The sequence below is a fragment of the Homo sapiens genome, chromosome X, assembly GCF_000001405.40.
Source record: "Homo sapiens chromosome X, GRCh38.p14 Primary Assembly".
Taxonomy (NCBI): Eukaryota; Metazoa; Chordata; class Mammalia; order Primates; family Hominidae; genus Homo; species Homo sapiens.
Genome location: NC_000023.11, coordinates 52,769,437 through 52,790,720, shown reverse-complemented (window position 1 = coordinate 52,790,720; position 21,284 = coordinate 52,769,437). Strand labels below are relative to the sequence as shown.

The window sequence follows — 21,284 nt, the reverse complement described above, 5'->3', positions numbered from 1 at the left end:
AAAACTTAGTGGGTCATGATGGTGCATTCCTGTAGTCACAGCTTCTCTGGAGGCTAAGGTGGGAGGATCACTTGAGCCCACGAGTTCAAGGCTGCATTGAACTATGATCATGCCACTGCACTCTAGCCTGGGCAGTGCAAGACCCCTTCTCTAGAAAAAAGAAACAAACAAAGAAACCCAACAACTGGAAACATCCTCCTCTGTAATGGTGGTCAGGAACATCTGCCTGCCTTGTTCACTGATGTCTCTCCAGCACCTAGAACAACGCCCAGCACGAGAACACACTCATTAGTGTTTTGTTGAATAAATGACTCCTTTGACACAGCAATTCAACTTCTAAGAATCTTTCCTAAAGAAATATTCACACAGGTGCAGAGACCTGTGCGCACATTAATGAGAGGAGCAAACAACTGGGGAACGTTTGCAAAGGTGTATTAACTGTCAGTGACTGATACGGGGAATCAGAGGAGGGGAGTACATGCTGAACAGGAAACAAATTGAAGGGGGGCTTGACCAGGACTCATGGCAATGGGGAAAAGCATATGGGAGATGCTTATACTGGTACTTGGTGTGTCTGTGTGTGTGTGTGTCTGTGTGTGTGTGTTTGTGTGTCTGGTGTGTAAATGCAGAGGGGAAAATCGGAAATTAAACACTCAGATCTGCCCTCAGTAGTCACATCTGGGGAGAGAGGAGGGTAGTGCTGTTCTATGGAGAGAATACCTGACTATACTTGCTTTCTGAGGTAGGTGCATGGATACACAAACCGAAATACACATTAAGCATGTCTTGCTCATCAATGAAAACGCTAATATCTAACAGAATGGCACACTGTAAGAAAATACAATGGAAACACTAACATCGAACTCTTGTCACACTAAGAAAAACGACGCTCAACTTTTCACTGTTGTGAACACTTGCTTTCACTTGCTATGCACCTGATGACGAGGGGTCCGCAGCCATGCCTATGTTCGTGAAAGGTCACCACGTTCTACTTCTCATCATGGGCATGTGACGTATCCCCGAGGCTGAGGCAAGAAGAGAGAAGGAAAGTAAGTGTCAGTGAGTTCCCACTGCCTGATAACTCAATCTCAACTCCTCCTGACCTGCAGACCCTGCACACTCTGATTCTGCCCTACCCCAGGACCTGCACACGCCTTCCATGGTTCCTTGAAGTGAACCATCTGCTCATGCCACAGTGACTTCTTTGGCTGGGTTATCCATTCCTAGGCTAGAGAAAGGTGTGGCCCACATACAGGGCTGACCTGGAGTTTGGGAACCCACAGCATCCTGAGTAGGGAGGATCCCTGGATATACAGGGCAGGGGTAAAAAGAGCTTGGGAAGGCCAGGCGTGGTGGCTCACGCCTGTAATCCCAGCACTTTGGGAGGCCGAGGCGGGTGGATCACGAGGTCAGGAGACCGAGACCATCCTGGCTAACATGGTGAAACCCCGTCTCTACCAAAAATACCTGGCTGTTCTCGAACTCCTGACCTCAGGTTATCCTCCCACCTCTGCCTTCCAAAGTACTGGGATTACAGGTGTGAGCCACCACGCCCAGCCTATCCGATAATTTTTCTGTATAACTCTTTGTTCCTGGGAAGGTGTGTCAGTCCAGACACTCCACATGAGTTTCAGGGTTTCTGGATTGATAGGTCGTAGGATACGGAGCCTCTAGAGCTGAGCTGAGCCAATTCTTCTTCCAGTCCCTAGCCTATGAGCCCCTGGAGACCCTTACAGGATTTCTGCCTTACAGTGTGGAGGGAGTCTACAGGTGGATGATATTGGTTGTAATCGCCCAGCTCAGAGGGCAGAGGGAGAGGTAGGAAAGAAATGTTCAGTTACTGGCCAGCTTTGATGAGTCTGCACTTTTTCTAGGAGCTTGCCAGGCCCCTTATTCTTTAATGTTATCAGGCCACTTTGGGCTAGCACTGGGCCAGCCCTGCCAAGTGTCTGCTCTATATGTTTACAGAACAGGTAATAAGCCTTCCAGAAAACAAGGAGAAAACAAGAATGCAACTTAGAAAGCTCCACCTGGGCTGATCCTCCATCTGTGGCCTCTGACCTTTTCCCACTCTAAGCCGTCTCATCCCCCAGTGGGGCCAAACCATCAAGGGTTTTGTTACAGGAACTGTTCTGAACTCCAACCACTTCCCACCTCTTCTGTGGCATCTGCAGGGTTTGGTTTGGGAAGGAAGCCAGCAGCTATTCCTGGTTCACCATCTTCTTCTTGAACCAGATATGCCTTTACATTTTAAAAGTAATTTGAAGTCATTACTAACAACAAGTAAAAGATATATACTAACTTAACCACATGACAGGCACTATTCTAAGTGCTTTACAGGTACTTGCCCATTTAATCATAGCAATCAAATGGGCTAGATAGTGTGGTTATCCCCAGTTTACTCTTGAGTAGCCTGAAACACGGAAAGGTTATATGACTTACGCAAGGTCACATAGCTTAATAAGTTGAGAAGCCAGAAACTGAACCCAAGCTGTCTGGTTCCATAGTTTGTACTCAAAAATACTAGCGTTAAGTGGGCACAGTGACTCACTCCTATAATCCCACCACTTTGAGAGGCTGATGTGGGAGGATTGCTCGAGGTCCAGAGTTCAAGGTCAGCCTGGGCAACATAGCAAGACCCTGTCTCTACCAAAAAAAAATTTTTTTTAGTTACCCAGGCATGGTGGTGCACACCTGTAGTCCCAGCTACATGGGAGGCTGAGGCAGGAGGGTCACTTGAGCTGAGGAGGCTGGGGTTGCAGTGAGCCATGATTGTGCTATGGAACTCTAGCCTGGGCACCAGAGTGAGGCCCTGTCTAAAATAAAACAAAATTTAATGCTAGTGCCTTTTACCATTCTACCGTTCTATCATTCATAAACATCTGTATACATTCCCTGAACACCGAAATAACTTCTCTTTTTTTTCCTGTCCCTCCTCCCATCTTCCATGTTTATAATACCTGGAATTTTATTTCAAGACTATAATTTTTTAAGTTTACAATCAAAAGTTTACACTTTTTAATAAATTTTACTGGTTTTCTTCTCATCATTGCTTGTTAAAATCACCTCCTTCCTCTTAAATTTACTTTTCTCTTCTCATAGACCTGTATACCAACAATGATTTCTGAAGGGTATATGTGTCATGAATTTTCTGAAATATTTTCTCCCTCATTCTGGATTATCCTGGCTGTATATAGATATCTAGGTTCAACTTTTTTGTTTGTTTTTGTCTTGTTTTGTTTTAATTTTTGAGACAGTGTCTGGCTCTGTCACCCAGGCTGGAATGCAGTGGCACCATCTCGGCTCACAGCAATTTCCACCTCCCGGACTCAAGTGATTCTCCTGTCTCAGCCTCCCAAGTAGCTGGGACTACAGGCACGTGGCACCACACCTGGCTACTTGTTGTATTTTTTGTAGAGATGGGTTTTGCCTTGTTGGCCAGGCTGGTCTCAATTTCCTGAGTTCAAGCTGTCCTCCCATCTTGGCCTACCAAAGTGCTGGGACTACAGGCGTGAGCCACTGTGCCTGGCCCAAAGTTATTTTTAATCAGCTCCTTGAAAAACGTCTCCATTGCATTCTCTTTTCTCTCTTTCTCTCTGGGGCCTTTCAGGATTTTATCTTTATCCTAGAAATTTTACCCCTAGGGAGTGTGTGCGTATATGTGTGAGTGTGTGTGTGTGTGTGTGTGCGCGCGCCTGTGTGTTAATCAGGTTCAGAACTAGGTGACTTTTTTCAGTTTGAAGATTCATGTGTTTGTTCAGTTGAGAAAATTCTAGAACATTATTTCTTCAAGTACCGCCTTCTCTACAGTCTTTCTATTCTTTTTTTTTTTTTTTTTTTCCTTTTCGAGTCGGAGTTTTGCTCTGTCATCCAGGCTGGAGTGCAGTGGCACAATCTCAGCTCACTGCAACCTCTGCCTCCCGGGTTCAAGTGATTCTCCTGCCTCAGGCTTCCACATAGTTGGGATTTCAGGCGCCCACCACCACACCGGGCTAATTTTTGTATTTTCAGTAGAGACGGGGTTTCGCCATGTTGGCCAGTCTGGTCTCAAACTCCTGACCTTAGGTGATGGGCCTGCCTCAGCCTCCAAAGGGCTGGGATTACAAGCGTGAGCCACGGCGCCTGGTCCAGTCTTTCTGTTCTCTACCTCTGCAACTTCTATTGGATGAACGTTGAAACCTCTGGGCTCTATCCTCCATTTCCTTTATTATTTTCATTTCATACTTTCTATTTCATAATCCTTTTCTGCTATACGGTGAAGTAGTGCCATGCCTGAACACATTTTTTCATTGGGTTGTTCCAGTTTCTCTTACTGATATGCAAAAGCTTTGTTGTATATTAGAGATGGTTACTGTTAATTTATTGAGGATGCTTCACCAATTTCCCCAACATTTGCCTTTTTAAACAGTTTTGTGGTGTTTTTTGAATTAGATGATACTTTAATTTTTACATCGTTATGTCAGATTCATTGTTCATAGCCTTAGTGTAATATCAGGAAGTGCCTATGACACCTCCAGATGTCTTACACTGTAATATTTTCCTAAATTTTCATCTAGTTCTTTATGACTTCACATTTTCACGTTTAAGTAACTGATTTTTTAGAATTTATTATTTTATGTGGTTTAAAGTAAGGATTTACTCTTTATTTTTTCAAATAGATAGACACTTGTCAAGCAATAATTTATTATACAACCCATCATCTTTTGCCCACTGTTTGAAAATGCATGCTGAAATTTGCGTATAGATTAGTCTGTTTCTTGACTTTCTATTTTGTTTCACTAATAAATGTTTCTATGTGCATTCATTTTTTATTGCAGCTGTAACAAATTTTCAATAGCTTAGACAACGCTGGGCGCAGTGGCTCAGGCCTGTAATCCCAGCACTTTTTGGAAATCTTTACCAACAAAGAAAAATTCTGATGTATTCTCTTTCAGTTGAATGTCCTCAGATGACTTTCGGCAGACTCTAGAGAATCTTCCCGAAGGTGAGTATCTCTCAAATCTAAATGACCAGAGAACCTTTGTCCCTCCATGGATGCGAAAACTGGTAAGAGTGGGAGAATATCAAAAATGCCCTCACTGCCTCCTTTTTCCCATGTCTATCACAACACCTGATGTAGCATTGACGGCTTGATAACACTGACAGTTGTAATCCTTAACACTTCTTTTGTTTTCATAGTGATGCCAGATATTCTAAGCAGGTTACATGGATTAATTTATTTAATCCTTAAGAATACGTCTATGACGTTGTTTCTATTATTATCTCCAAATAATGTCTCATACATTTCAGTTGTCATCCACACAAAAGCCATGTGACTTGGCGCAAATCTTCTAAGTTCTCTGAGCTCCAGACTCCTGGGCCATGAAATGGAAGTAAAGAATCATAGTTCATGTTTTAGATCATAGTTATCAGCAAAATAATAATAACATGAGACTATCGTGGTACAGAGATGTTAGAGAATTTTCCTGAGGTGCAGTGGCAGTGGTAGTCTGATCCAGAGCTCCAAGCCATTTAAAGCTCATTCACGTTTGCATTTGTTTATGAAGTTCAGATGTTGCTCACTAGGGCTTTACCCCATAGGGCCTGCTGGTGCTTCCAAGGAGACACCCACTCTCGCAACAGGAAGGACCAGCTGGCTTCTGATCCGTTACTGGGGCCACTCGCATGGCTTAGGAATAGGTTTGACTGTGGGCCCCTCCCTACTGTGAGCTCCTTGAGGGCTTTCTCTACACCTGGTGCATCCGAGAAACCCCAGTCCCAGCCCAGGGGTTTCCTTGGAGGCCCCTGAACGAGTGACTCCACAACTACATATTCAATTCCGGTTTAGAGGGTAAAGGGATCTGGGATTGGGTTGCCAGTATGGAGGACAAATTCAAAGAAGGATCATGAAAGGTATTAATTGTTATTATTACTACATTTAAACAGTGTTTATAAGCTCAGAGAGGACTTTCCCTTAGCCTATTTTACATGTATTGTTCACTATTTCATAAGTGAGGAAGCTGAATAAATGTAGCTTAAGACTGTTGGTCAGTGACCCATCCCAGTGCAACCAGAATTGATATGGGTACCACCTCACTGAATTCCACATTCAATGTTGGTGCCTCGGTAGGCTGGTATGCCAGATCTGGTACTGCTTTCTTTGCTGCCTGGATTAATTTCAGCAAACCATTTCTTTCCCTCTCCCTTCCCTGTATTCCTCTCCCCACACCATCTTTCCCAGCAGTGTTTCGTCCCCTCCCTATGTTTTTACATTTACCCTCCCAGCAGCTGTCTACGAGCTTATATGGGATCCCTTGTATTTTATAGAAGCTCTTCCTTTTGCAGACCTGTGAATTCTTAGAATGCTATGCTCCAAATCTTCTGTATATCACACTCTCAATTACATGGAGATTTTTGCTGTTTGCAAGAATGTCAGTCCTAAAAGAGTGGGAAGATAAGCATTCTATCCCTGGAAACCCCATTCATGTAGGCCAATCCTTTCCCTTCTAACCTCCCCTCCCAGGTTTCTCCTAATTTAGGCAAGTGTAACTCTCCCAGCTTTGTTGAGAACATTGATTAAGGTAATGCATGCGAAGACGCTTTGTAAGCTCTAAAGCACTATAGAAATGGCACTGATTCTGTTTATCTGTGACCTTCACATTATAAAGATCATGCCCAAGAAGCCAGCAGAGGAAGGAAATGATTAGAAGGGAGTGCCAGAAGCATCTGCCCCACAAAACGATCCGAAGCAGCTGTGCCCACCCAGGAAAAGCAAATACCTCTAGAAGATTCACAAGAGATCTGGTAAGAGGAAACAATTCGGGAACAAACCCTCTGGCTTTCCTGGCTATGTTCAGGTGTGTGGATTGGGTGTGTGGCACGGACCCCAGACAAGCCTGGGTCCCGGCTGAGCTGAGGAGCTTGCCCAGCGCCAGAAGAGATGTTAGACATGACTTCCAGAGACACAGAGTGGAGTTGTCATCCATATACAACCACGTGACTTGGGGCAAGTCTTCCAAATTTTCTCAGCTCCAGATTCCCAGTCCATACGATGGAAGTAAAGAATCATAGTTCACAAATTGTTTGGAGACATTATATTTAGTCTAGAAGGCCTGATGACATGAAAGGTGCTCAAGCAATTCTATCTGTAATTAATTACCTGGGATCATGTCTTACGCAGCTCAATGCCTGATACCCAATCAGTTGTACTTCAGAGATATTGCAGGTTCGGTTCCAGACCACTGCAATAAAGTGAGTCACACATTTTTTTTGTTATTGTCGTTTCGCAGTGCATAAAAACATTACGTTTTCACTATAGTGTACTCTACTAAGTGTGCAATAGCATTGTCTAAAAATGTACATACCTTAATTTTAAAATAATTCATTGATAAAAAATGCTAACAATCTTCTGAGCCTTCAGTGAGTCACACTCTTTTTGCTGGTGGAGGGTCTTGCCTTGGTGTTAATGGCTGCTGGCTGATCAAGGTGGTGGTTGCTGAAGATTGGAGTGGCTGTGGCAGTTTCTTAAAAGAACACAACGGTGAAATTTGCCACATTGATTAGCTCTCCCTTTCATGAAAGATTTCCCTGTAGTGTGTGATGCTACTGGATAGCATTTTACCCACAGTAGAACTTCTTTCAAAGTTGGAGTCAATCCTCTCTAGCTATGAAAGTCCTAGATGGCATCTCCTTCCAATAGAAGGCTATTTTATCTACATTGAAAATCTGTTGTTTAGTGTAGCCACCTTCATCAGTGATCTTAGCTAGATCTCCTGGATAACTTGCTGCAGCTTCTCCATCAGGGTTTGCTGCTTCACCTTGCACTTTTATGTTATGGAGATGGCTTCTTTCCTTAAACCTCACGAACCAACTTCTACTAGCTTCACGTGTTTCTCCTGCAGCTTCTTCACCTCTCTCAGCTTTCATGGACGTGAAGAGAGTTCAGGTCTTTCTCTGAATTAGACTTTGGCTTAAGGGAATGTTGTGGCTGGTTTCATGTTCTGTCCTGACCACGCAATCTTCCTCTATTTCAGCAGTAAGGCTGCTTTACTTTCTTATTTGTGTGTTCACTGGAGTATTAGTATTATTATTTCCTTCAAGACCTTTCCTTTGCATTATATACTATTATTTCCTTCAAGAACTTTTCCTTTGCAATCACAGCTTGGCTGTTTGGTGGAAGAGGCCGAGCTTTCAGCCTGTCTTGGCTTTCAGCGTGCCTTCCTCACTAAGCTTAGCCATTTCTAGCTTGTGATTTAGAGTGAGAGACATGCGACTCTTCCCTTCCTTTGAACACTTAGTGGCCATTGTAGGGTTGTTCATTGTCCTAATTTCAGTATTGCTGTGTCTCAAGAAATAGGGAGGCCCAAGAAAAGGAAGGTAGGCAAGGAAGAGCTCATCGGTGGAGCAGTCAGAACACACACAACATTGATCAATTAAGTTTGTCATCTTCTGTGGGTGCAGTTCCTGTTACCCCTAAAACAATTACCCACAACAGGGTGATTATTGTCAGTAATAACCTAATTGCACATTTAAAAAAACTAACACAGTGTAAATGGATTGTTTGTAACACAAGGATAAATGGTTGAGGGGACGGATACCCTATTTGCCATGATGTGATTATTATGCATTGCATGCATGTATCAAAACATCTCACGTACCCCATAAGTATATAGACCTACTGCGTACCCACAAAAATAAAAAAAAATTATTTTAAAAGACTAAAGAACAACAAAACAATCGCAATCATAATATCAAAGCTCACTGATCACAGATCACTATAACAGATATAATAATAATGGAAAAGTGTAAAATTGGTGAGAATTTCAAAAAAAAATTGCAGTATCTGCGAAGCAGGATAAAAATGAGGTGCCATAAAACAAGGTTTGCCTTGTGCCCTTAACAAATACGTGCAGCATGAAAGGAGGTATGGGTGAGTGTTCCCATAAGTGAAGAGGCTGGGAATCTAAACCTGACAACGGAAGGAGCCAGAAGCTAAAACTTTAATTGGTATTTGTGGTGTATTGGTGTGGATCTAAGGCCTCAGCCTCTCTAAGCCAGAGAATGTGAAAAACTGGATAAAGAAGGCCCATGGGCACTTGGTGGTGGGGAGGCATCTCCTTTTTTGAGAAAACAGAGCCTAACACTCTCCAACCCACCCAACCCTCACTTTCCAACTATTCTCCATCATAGGACCCAAAAGGGGGAAACATGCCTGGACCCACAGACTGCGTGAGAGAAAGCAGCTGGTGATTTATGAAGAGATCAGCGACCCTGAGGAAGATGACGAGTAACTCCGTAAGTGAACCTTCCGCTCATCCCCCACATCCCTGCAGATGTGCTATTCTGTTATGATACTGGTATCCCATCTGTCACTTGCTCCCCAAATCATTCCCTTTTCTAGGGTACAGCATTGAGGCTGAATGATGAGATTTCCCATTCTCTTTCTTTCTTTCTTTCTTTCTTTCTTTCTTTCTTTCTTTCTTTCTTTCTTTCTTTCTTTCTTTCTTTCTTTCTTTTTCTTTCTTTCTTTTTTTTTTTTGGAGGGATTCTTGCTCTGTCGCCCAGGCTGGATGTGGTGGCCCGATTTCGCCTCACTGCAACTTCCGCATCCCGGTTCAAGCAATTTTCTTGCCTCAGCAACCTGAGTAGCTGGGATTACACGTGTGCACCCCACACACCCGGCTAATTTTTGTATTTTTAGTAGAGATGAACTTTCACCATGTTGGTCAGGCTGGTCTCGAACTCCTGACCTCGGGATCCACCTGCCTCGGTCTCCCAAAGTGCTGGGTTTACAGGCGTGAGCCACCGCACCCGGCCGATTTCCCATGCTCTTTCTACTCTCTACCCTGTATATCCAGGGATGCTCCCTACCCAGGATGCTGTGGGTTCCCAAACCCCAGGTCAGCCCTGATATGCGGGCCACACCTTCCTCTAGCCTAGGAATGGATCACCCAGGCGAAGAAGTCACTGTGGCATGAACAGATGGTTCACTTCGAGGAACCGTGGAAGGCGTGTGCAGGTCCTGAGGTAGGACAGAATCAGAGTGTGCAGGGTCTGCAGGTCAGGAGGAGTTGAGGTTGAGTTGTCACGTGGTGGGAACTCACTGCCACTTACTTTCCTTCTCTCTTCTTGCCTCAGCCTCGGGGATACGACACATGCCCATGATGAGAAGCAGAACGTGGTGACCTTTCATGAACACGGGCATGGCTGTGGACCCCTCGTCATCAGGTGCATAGCAAGTGAAAGCAAGTGTTCACAACAGTGAAAAGTTGAGCGTCATTTTTCTTAGTGTGCCAAGAGTTCGATGTTAGAGTTTACGTTGTACTTTCTTACAGTGTGCCATTCTGTTAGATATTAACATTTTCACTGATCAGCAAGACATACTTAATGCATATTTCGGTTTGTGTATCCATGCACCTACCTTAGAAAACAAGTATAGTCAGGTATTCTCTCCATAGAACAGCACTACCCTCCTCTCTCCCCAGATGTGACTGCTGAGGGGAGGTCTGAGTGTTTAATTTCAGATTTTTTCCTCTGCATTTACACCACACACACACACACACACACACACACACACACAAACACCAAGTAACACTATAAGCATCTCCCATCTGCTTGTACTCCCCTCATCCGATTCCCCTCTATCAGTCACTGACAGTTAATAAACATTTGCAAACGTTCCCCAGTTGTTTGCTCCTCTCATTATTGTGCACACAGCTCTCTGCATGTGTATGAATATTTCTTTAGGAAAGATTCTTAGAAGTGGAATTGCTGTGTCAAACGAGTCACTTATTCAACAAAAAACTAATGAGTGCATACTCATGCTGAGCGCTGTTCTAGGTGCTGGAGAGACACCAGGGAACAAGGCAGACAGATGTTTCTGACCCCCATTCTAGAGGAAGATGTTTCCCGTTGTTGGGTTTCTTGGTTTGTTTGTTTGTTTCTTCTAGAGATGGGGTCTTGCTCTATCCAGGCTAGAGTGCAGTGGCATGATCATAGCTCAATGCAGCCTTGAACTCCTGGGCTCAAGTGATCCTCCCACAGCAGCCTCCAGAGTAGCTGTGACTACAGGCATGCGCCATCACGCCCCACTGATTTTTTTAGGTTTTGTCTAGAGAGTCTCACTATGTTACCCAGGCTGGTCTCCACCTCCTGGGTTCAGGCAATCCTCTCACCTTGGCCTCCTAATATATTGGGATTACAGGCGTAAGCCACCGCACCTGGCCTCCAGTTTTTATTTTGATAGAGACTATACACTTCAGTCCTGGAGCAGGATTCTGCAGCAGGTGTTTGGGCATCTTGGCCTTCGCTCTCTGAACCATTTTCGGGTTCTAGGGCTGGGACGGTCCATTTGGGAGTATGTAGGAGGAGACACAGATGAAATCGTCATCTGGGGAACGCAGAGGGATGAGGAAGATGCGTGCACTGTAGACCCTGTGATGCACAGGGAATAGAAGAGTCCACTTAGTCTCCATGCAAAGGAGCAACGGTGGGAAAGTCTCCTGGACAGGAGCGTGAGACTGCCCATCAAGGATCTCACCAACCAAGGGCCTGGGGGCTGGGGTGGGGACGATGATTTGGGAATGGGACAGTTCTTTCTCACATATACCACTGCACGGTGCGGAGGTGGAACAGTTGTGGGGAAGGAAGGGCAGAGGGGAGTCCGTTTTAGAACAAACCAGTGTGTGTGAATGAAGACATTAAACCTCCATTCACACACAACAGACTTGAAACACCAGCCCCGGGTGGAGGCAGGACTGGAGCTCTTTTGACCATTCATACCCCATCACCTTGGCCTCCTGGTTCTCCCCAGCCTTGGAAGGAGGACACTATCATCATTATGCCTATATGATAGATGAGAGAGGGAGTCCCAGACAGATGGTAGGCATCTTGTCACAGGTCCTACAGCTGGCAGGTGCAGGAGGGGCTGAGTTTGGAGTTCATTGACTCTAGAAATATTAAGGAGGAAAGGTGTGTGTGGTGGAGGGAGGGAGAATTGAACAAACTCCAGGTTCTGTCCCCAGTCGCAAGGTAGAGGTTGTGGGTTCATTTTCCAAGACAGGGAGCCCTTAGAGATGGAGAGTGCAGGGAGGAAGAGGCAATCGTGGACATAGTGGGGACAGTGGGAGACAGAGATGTGCAGCCTGGGCAGAAGAGAGGCAGGCAAAGAAGCAGGGGATACCCAAGACCAAGTGTGGGCTGTCACAGCCACCAGAGGGAGAGGGTGCCAGGAAGGAGGTTGTGGGCCTCCAGGAGCAAGAGGTTCCCTAGATCTGTGAGCATGCCCTGCCTGGCACTGCAGGAAGAGATGGCTGCCACCCAGGTCAGTGTGGACATACCTCTACCTGTGTCTCAGAGGAAACAAATTCTATTTTATCCCAATATAGTTCTGTATTACACAAATGTAACATTCCAATACTAGATATTGAGTGCCTTACCCTCCATGCAAATAGAGGAGAGGATACCCTAAAGGAGATACCGAAGGATTTGATTTTTCTTTCTCCCTGGGAAGATGGGATCCATAAGTTGAGTCCCCCAGCCCACAAGACAGGTGCAAAGAAGGGTGGCTGGAAGATTGTGAGTCATGACAGGGAACATTTTTCGTTAGGTTCCATGGGTATATAAAACTCCCGACTATCTGTCTATCAGGGATAAAGAGTGAACATGGTCCCCTCTCCACAAATGTGTTTCTCTCCTTCACTATTACAGTGAAGGTCTGAAGTTCCGTCAAGTTCTGATACATTACTTTTATTATTATTATTTGTTTTTTTCTTTCCTTTTTTTTTTGAGACAGAATGTCACTCTGTCACCCAGGCTGGAGCGCAGTGGCGAGATCTCCCACTGCACTTCCAAGTTCGAAGGAATGTTGGGTAGGGTACGGGATCTATCTGCCATCTTGCTTCAATCATCTGGTTTTAGATATTTTATGTACTTTTGTCACTATATATGTGTAATTTTTCTCAATTTGGATTTCTAAATGGTTATTATTGGTATGTAGAAAAGCTATCTATTACTGTATATAATAATTTGTTACCTGTCTGGGTGCAGCTTCCCCTGCATTTTGGCACAAGACTCAATCTGTTTTATTCTCAAAAAAAAAAAAAAAACAAACAAAAACAAAACAAAACAAAACAAAACCTGATAGCCTGGGTGCGGTGGCTCATGCCTGTCATCCCAGCACTTTGGTAGGCCGAGGTGTGTAGATCACCTGAGGTCAGGAGTTCGAGACCAGGGTGGCCAAGATGGTGAAACCGCATCTCTTCTAAAAATACAAAATAAAAAAAAAATTAGCCACGCCTGGTGGCGCACGCCTGTATTCCCAGCTACTAGGGCAGCTGAGACGGGAGGATCACTTGAACTCGGGAGGCAGAGATTGCAGTGAGCCAAGGTGGCACCACTGCACTCCAGGCTGGGCGACAGAGTTTCTATCTCTAAACAAAAAGAAAAAGAAAAAAAGAAAAATCACTTCACAGGCAATAGAGAGTTATAAAAGGATACTTTATGGAAGATTTCATAGAGAAGACTGATGGAAAGAAAGAAGTGTATATTTTACAGAGCTGAGCAGTTCACAGCAAAAATCACCAGAACTGCCTTTTTCTCCAAAATTATTACCCCTAAGCTATTCTACTACTGGTTCTTCTAGTCCTTCCCTCTATTCCAAATCCTCAAATTGTCCATTTTCTTATTGCAATAATTTTCCTCTGCCCAGATCTAGGTCCTCCACAACACTTAGCACTCTCTTCGAGTGTTTGCATGCCCATTGTTTTAGCTCAGGTTCCCAAGGAAACAGAATTTGGGCCATTCCGGACACCTCTAGACAGACTATACCGAGAAACCATGCCTGGAACGGTGCAGGGGGAGAGGAGAGGAGAGGGAATTTACATACCTGGCTCTCACTCCTGGTTCCTTTTCTTAACGGTCAAAATTTATCCCACAGGCACGAGCTCCCCTACACTTCTAGATTGCATCATCTGCCCCCTTGGCAGCTGTCTGGGAAGCCAGATCCCACACTTGGAAGTGTAGTTTTTTCATACAATCCAAAAGTGGTAGCAGAGGCCAGGTGTGGTGGCTCACGCCTGTAATTCCAGCACTTTGGGAGGCCGATGCAGGCAGATCGTGAGGTCAGGAGCTCGAGACCAGCCTCGATAGCATGGTGAAACCCCGTCTATACTAAAAGTACAGATTTAGCTGGGCATGGTGACGTGCACCCGTAATCCCAGATACTCCGGAGGCAGAGGTGGGAGAATCGCTTGACCTCGAGAGGCAGAGGTTGCACTGAGCTGAGATCTCACCATTATACTCCAGCCTGGAGGACAGAGCGAGACTCAATCTCAAAAACAAAACAAAACAAACAAACAAACAAACAAACACAAAAGTGGTAGCAGAAGTCAGAAAGTCCAGGTATGTAGCTACTTTGCCTAGTTGTAAAGCAGCAGCCAAGGGTGAAAACTGAATACTCCCAGGCAAGTCCTAAGTTCACCGAGTAACTGGAGTACCCATCTGTGTTAGTTAATTGCCTTTATCTGAAGGAAAAGTAAAACTCATGTCTCTGTGACAACCAGGTGCTTACAGCTTGGAGCGAGGCACCTAGGCTAAACTCCTCTGGTGACAGGGAGACAAGGACATCATCTTCCTCAATGTTCACATTTCAAAGAGATGGCTCCAAGGCCCTGAAGAAAGACATTCCTAGGGGATGGGCGTGGTGGCTCACGCCTGTAATCCCAACACTTTGGGAGGCTGAGGCTGGAGGATCACTTGAGGCCTGGAGTTCAAGTTCAAGACATTCCTGGGTTCTAGGATGGCCAGAGGCTTACAGATCAAAGGAAGAATTTACAAATACAAATTTTCTCAAGAAAATGCTCTAAGGAAAGTGAAATGGGGAAAGGTCTCTTCTTCCCTTTTGGCAACAGGAAAAATTCAATTTTATGTTTAGTTACCCTTACAATATCCCCCTTTTGTTATTGTTTTATAGGAACACTGCAATTTTCTAATTATCTCCACTGCTGTTTCTATCTTTCTCTGTGTGGTTTACAGCCACCTAGATATCCAACAAGTCCATAGTAAGATGCAAAGCAAAGCAATTATCAGGATTATAATAGAATGATTTTTTTTTTCAGGACAGAGTTTCGCTCTTGTTGCCCAGGCTGGAGTGCAGTGGTGCGATGTCGGCTCACTGCAACCTCTGTCTCCTGAGTTCAAGCGATTCTCCTGCCTCAGCCTCCCGAGTAGCTGGGATTACAGGCATGTGCCACCACGCCCAGCTAATTTGGTATTTTTTGTAGATATGCGGTTTCACCATTTTAGCCAGGCTGGTCTTGAACTCCTTACCCCAGGTGATCCGCCCACCTCGGCCTCCCAAAGTATTAGGATTACAAACGTGAGCCACCATGCCCTGCCTAGAAAGAATTCTTAAATTCAGTATAATACTCCCCTTGTTTGGGCGGCGGGACCTTTAAACACATCATACTGGTTAATTGTGTCAAAGTCAAAATAAATTATAGAGACAAATCCCTAAATCAAATGCTGTATTTGGGAATCACAAAATTGCAATCCAGGGCATATACAAGGACTAGGGTGGTCTTCAGTGTGTCCAACGAACAAACAGAAGTTGGAAATTTTATTAGAAAGAAAAATGTTACATATTGTTTTGAAATGAGGCTCATTGGCCCTGGAGAAGCTGGTTCATTCGCACAATCAGCTTTCACATTCCCTCTTTTGATCAACATCTTTGTTTGAAAACCTCACTGATTAGCCATCTTAAAGTGAGGCTTCACTGTCACTCCATGCCAGGATGGACGTGGGCCGGTTGTCTTTGTCCCATGTCAAGGGAAAGGTAAGGGAGTCTAGATCAGGGACATGGGCCATATTTGAGCCACAAAGAGGCCAGAAGGAAAAAAAAAAATTCAGGCAGGTTTGTCTGGAGTTCAGCATCAAATTCCATCTTGTTAGTCCCATCTATATTAGCATTCATCTTGAAGCACTAGGCCAACATTTTCCTGTTGGTAGAACTGGCTTAACAAATATTAGACAGGCAACAAGAATGGAGCTCAAAGATCATAATACAAAAGTAATTAGCTATCGTTATTTTATTTTATTATTTTATTTTATTTTATTTTATTGCAACGCGGTCTTGCTCTGTCACCCAGGCTGGAGTGCAGTGGCGTGATCCCGGCTCACTGCAACCTCCACCTCCTGGGTTCAAGCGAATCTCCTGCCTCAGCCTCTCGAGTAGCTTGGATTACAAGTGCTCACCACCACGCCCGGCTAATTTCTGTCTTTTCAGTAGAGACGGGGTTTCATCATGTTGGCCAGGCTGGTCTCGAACTCCTGACCTCAAGTGATCCGCCCTCCTTGGCATCCCAAAGTGCTGGGACGGTAGGCGCGAGCCACCGCACCCAGCTATAATTAGCAATAGTAGAATAAATTTAGTTTGTACAATGATTTTGAACTAAGATCCCAAGCCTAAGGGCCACCAGCTAAACAAATCAAAAGACTATGGGGGAATTGAATGAGACCTCTTATAGTCTTTGAGTAGCATTTGAGGACTGGGTTGAATTAAAGCAGAGTGCCAACTCTATAAAAGGGACCACTCTATAAAAAGGATTCACTAGGTGAATCAAAGGATTTGGGAGTCATGGTCTGCCAAGTGAAAAATGTAGACATTAAGGGGATAAGAGTCTCATTATGATATGAAGACTTATTCTGATATCTTGGGAAAAGCTGTCTACAATGTGGAATCGTCAGCTTCTCATCCTGATTTGTCGTTCGAATGTCTCTGGTTATGGCATTCGACAGTTTGGTGAACTTTTTGTGTGGTCCATGCATCAGACACGAGACTTGTTCCTTAAAATGTATGCAGTTTGGCTAGGTGCAGTGGTTCATGCCTGTAATCCCAGCATTTTGGGAGGCTGAGGTGGGCAGATCACGAGGTCAGGAGATAGAGACCATCCTGGGTAACTCGGTGAAACCCCGCCTCTACTAAAAATACAAAAAATTAGCCGGGGATGTTGTCACGTGCCTGTAGTCCCAGCTACTCGAGAGGTTTGGGCAGGAGAATCGCTTGAACCCGGGAAGCGGAGGTTGCAGTGAGCCGAGATCTCACCACTGCACTCCAGCCTTGGCAACAGTGTGAGACTCCATCTCAAAAAAAAAAAAAATTATGCAGTTTTTGTCTTAGAGTATTTGTAAACCAAAAATAGCATCCTAAGCACCCCCACCCTTAACCATCTGAATGGACGTCCTCCTCAGCCAGAGCTCTTTTAAAATTAAGCTGGGAGACTGTTTTAGGCCATGACAGGACTTGTGGGTCAGACATGCCTCATTATACCTCTCTGGCATCAATATCAACACAGACTTAAATCTCATAAGAAACATGTTACAACCTAGTCTCTCTGAAGTCTAGTACCTGAAGGTTTCCTCTGCAAATAAGAACTTGGGTCACCACAATCCTTTATCTCAACCCAGGCATTCCTTTCTGTTGATCCTAGGCATTTTTGTTTGTTTGTTTGTTTGTTTGTTTGTTTTTGCTTTGAGACAGAGTCTAGATCTGTTGCCCAGGCTGGAGTATAATGGTGCATTCTCTGCCAACTGTAACCTCTGCCACCCGGATTCAAGCAATTCTCCTGTCTCAGTCTACCCAGTAGTTGGGGTTACAGGCACCCGCCATCACATCCAGCTAATTTTTTTGTATTTTTAGTAGAGACGGGGTTTCACCATGTTGGCCAGGCTGGTCTCCATCTCCTCACCTCAGGTGATTCATCTGCCTCAGCCTCCCAAAGTGCTGGGATTATAGGCACGAGCCACCAGGCCTGGCCGATCCTAGGTTTTTAGAAAACCCAACCAATTGTCAACTAGAAAATTTTTTAATCTACCTGTAAGCTGGAAGCCCCTGCTTCGAGTTGTCCTGCCTTTCTGGACCAAACCAATGTATTTCTTAAATGTATTTGATTGAGTCTCCATAAAATCTGTAAAACCAAGCTGCACCCCAACCTCCTTGGGCAACTCAGGACCTCCTGAGGCTGTGTCATGGGCCATGGTCGCTCCTATTTGGCTCAGAATAAGTCTCTTCAAGTGTTTTCCAGAGTTTGACTCTTTTCATCAGCAGGCTTCAGGAACAGAGCAGTTTCTGTTTTTAGTAATTTTATGGGAAAAAGTTGGATCTAGTCTAGTCTGTATGTAGATAACAAGAACTCGGCCAGGCGCAGTGGCTCAGGCCTGTATTCCCACCACTTTGGGAGGCCGAGGCGGGCGGATCACGCGGTCAAGAGATTGAGACCATCCTGGCCAACATGGTGAAACACCGTCTCTACTGAAAATACAAAAATTAGCCGGGCGTGGTGGCATGCACCTGTAGTCCCAGCTACTCGGGAGGCTGAGGCAGGAGAATCGCTTGAATGCGGGAGGCAGAGGTTGCAGTGAGCCGAGATCCCGCCACTGCACTCCAGCCTGGTGACAGAGCGAGACTCTGTCTCAAAAACAACAACAACAACACAAAAAGAAAAAAAACACAAGAACTCGAAAAAATGCAGAGAGCTACAATCTAATAACTGGTCTATTAGAGCTTTTCTTTAGCAACATAATTTTTCTCTATACATTGATCACTTAGGAATCTCAGATTTAAAAACCTCTTGAGCATAGAAAGTCAAACCAAGGCCGACTTTAGATTTCACCTACCTTCTTAAGGTTCCTGGGCCTGACAGAAAGTGACCGTTTTTATTCACCCACTCTAAAGCTAAAAACACTTGAAGTCAGGCATTCCATGCATTTTGATGAAAGCCTTGGTAATATAACCAATTTTTTTTTCTTTTTGAGACAGTCTTGCTCTGTCACCCAGACTGCTGAGATCTCAGCTCGCTGCAGCCTCCACCTCCTGGTTTCAAGCAATTCTCCTGCTTCAGCCTCCTGAGTAGCTAGGATTACACATGTACACCACCATGCCCTACTACATTTTTTCTTTATAATTTTTAGTAGAGATGTGGTTTCCCCATGTTGGCCAGGCTGGTCTCAAACTCCCGATCTCAGGTGATCCACCCACCTCAGCCTCCCAAAGTGCTGGGATTACAGGTGTGAGTCACCATGCCCGGCCTTATAACCAATGTTTTTAATTGTATCTGTCTATAAAGAGAGAGCAGATTTTTTTGTGTGTGTTTAGAAAAAAGGTGGGTCAGGTGCAATGGCTCACACCTAAAATCCCAGAGCTTTGGGAGGCCACTTGAGCCCAGAAGTTCAAGATCAACCTGGGCAACATAACTAGACCCCCATTGCTAAAAAAAAAAAAAAAAAAAAAAAAAAAAAAAAAAAGAAAAAGAAAAAAAAAAGGAAAGATGGAAAAGAGAAAAGAAGTATGGTTTTATAACTACCTGCAGGTAGGGCCTGCATGAGGTGGTGGGTGTACTTGAGAGAAGAGAAGAGGAACGGAGGAGAGGAGAGGGGAGGGGAGGAAAGGGGGGGAGAAGGGCGAGGGGAGGGGGAGGAAGGGGACAGGGGAGGGGGAGCGGTGGAGCGGCACGGAGGCGGGAATGGTTTTATTACTACCTGCAGGCAGGGCCTGCATGAGGTGGTGGGTGTGCTGGGCCCAGGGTACGTGTGGGCTGTGAGGAGATGGTGATGGTGAGGCTGGAAGGAAAGGGGGTGGCTTGGAAACCAGGCCCAGGGGATCCTCAGATCCGCTTCTTGGAATGGGCAGCCTTGAGAAAAGAGTCATGGTAAGCCACAGTCATGCCATCCATCAGATGCAGACATTCTTGGAAATCCAGCTGCCCATCACTAGTGAGGTCCAGTTTCTTCATCATGTGGTCAAAGACACTGGGGGCCTCTGGTTCTTCATGAAGGCATCCAGTTCTGTATTCATGAAGCTTGGGAACTCCATCTTGGAGTGAATGCTATCGTAACCATCCTTTCCAGCCTATTTCTGGAAAATAGCAATCAGGGACTCTCTGTAGGGCTGGAGACTTTTGCCATGTTGGAGTTGAATGAGGCACCAAGAGCAGGTTTTTACTGGACCTGTGTAAATAACCATATTGCCATAGGAATATTTACAAATAGTTTTCAAATTCTGGAGGAATTGAGTAGTAAGAAAAAGCAAACATTTCCATCTCAGTTTACAAAAGTATACTTCACAAAATTATTATAAACTATAGATAGTTTAACAGAGAAAATTTTCTCTTTTTTTTTTCATTTTTTTGAGAAAGGATTGCGCCCCGTCGCCCAGGCTGGAGTGCAGTGGTGCAAACACGGCTCCCTGCAACCTCTGCGTCCCGACTCAAGTGATCCTCCCACCTCGGCCTTGCAAGTAGCTGGGACCACAGGTGCGTGCCACCATGCCCAGCTAATCTTCTTATTTTTGTTTTTGTTTTTGTAGAGACAGGGTTTTGCCATGTTGCCCAATCGGGTCTGGAACTCCTGGGCTCAAGCGATCCTCCTGCCTTGGCTTCCAAAGTGAGCCACCACATCCCACCAGAAAATTTTCTTAAATGTGGAAAACAAAACATTTAGGTAAAAAACAAATAAAGTTTTATTTTCTTAATTTCTTTCAGAAACCAGGTCTCCTATATTTCCCAGGTTGGTCTTGAACTCCTGCACTCAAGGGATCCTCCTGTTCCAGCCTCCAAAAGTGCTGGGATCAGAGGTGTGAGCCACTGCACCCAGCCCAAGAATAAATAAAGTTTTAAATAAAGGTCACAAAAACATTATTGGTTATTTAGCCTCATATAATTAATGTTTGTTCTGCTTGATCTTGATAATCAGTTGCATGAACCCATCAGTTTTCGTTAGAGTTTTCAAAAATAATTCATTTCGTTCATTGATCTGAAAGTTATTACAAATCTATATTCAACAGTACTTGTTAAAATATTTTTTATGAATCTGATTCTGGATGCCTTTAGAGAAGAATCAGCACTGTAGATGATAAAGCTTAGAATAGTAACGATTAAAATCCGATGAAAGTTCAATAATTGACAAGGAAATTCAGTTATTTCTATTATAGAGAGAATTTTAAGATAACAACCAGAATCATGACTAACAGCATCACACCAGGACCATCAGACCTCTGTAAATTTTATATGATCTTCTGAACATTAACATCAATAATATATCTATATAAATGTAAACACCAATTAGTATTTTTTATTATCTGACATTGTTTTTCATATAATGTGACATATCAAATAAGCCTAATGAGAGACACATTCTTTGAGGCTCTCCAGGGGCCTCACTGGTAAATCTCAAAGTCAATTTTAGGTTAAAAAGACTTAAATTAGAATTTGATTAGTTTGTTCAACAGCAATAGATAAATTAAAAAAGAATTG

At 44.3% G+C, this 21,284-nt stretch overlaps 2 pseudogenes; one reads left to right on the top strand and one right to left on the bottom strand.

Moving 5' to 3' along the window:
• On the top strand, window positions 4,935-9,269 carry SSX21P (SSX family member 21, pseudogene; annotated as a pseudogene).
• On the bottom strand, window positions 19,576-19,938 carry S100A11P8 (S100A11 pseudogene 8; annotated as a pseudogene).
• Window positions 19,939-21,284: the final 1,346 nt, after the last annotated feature.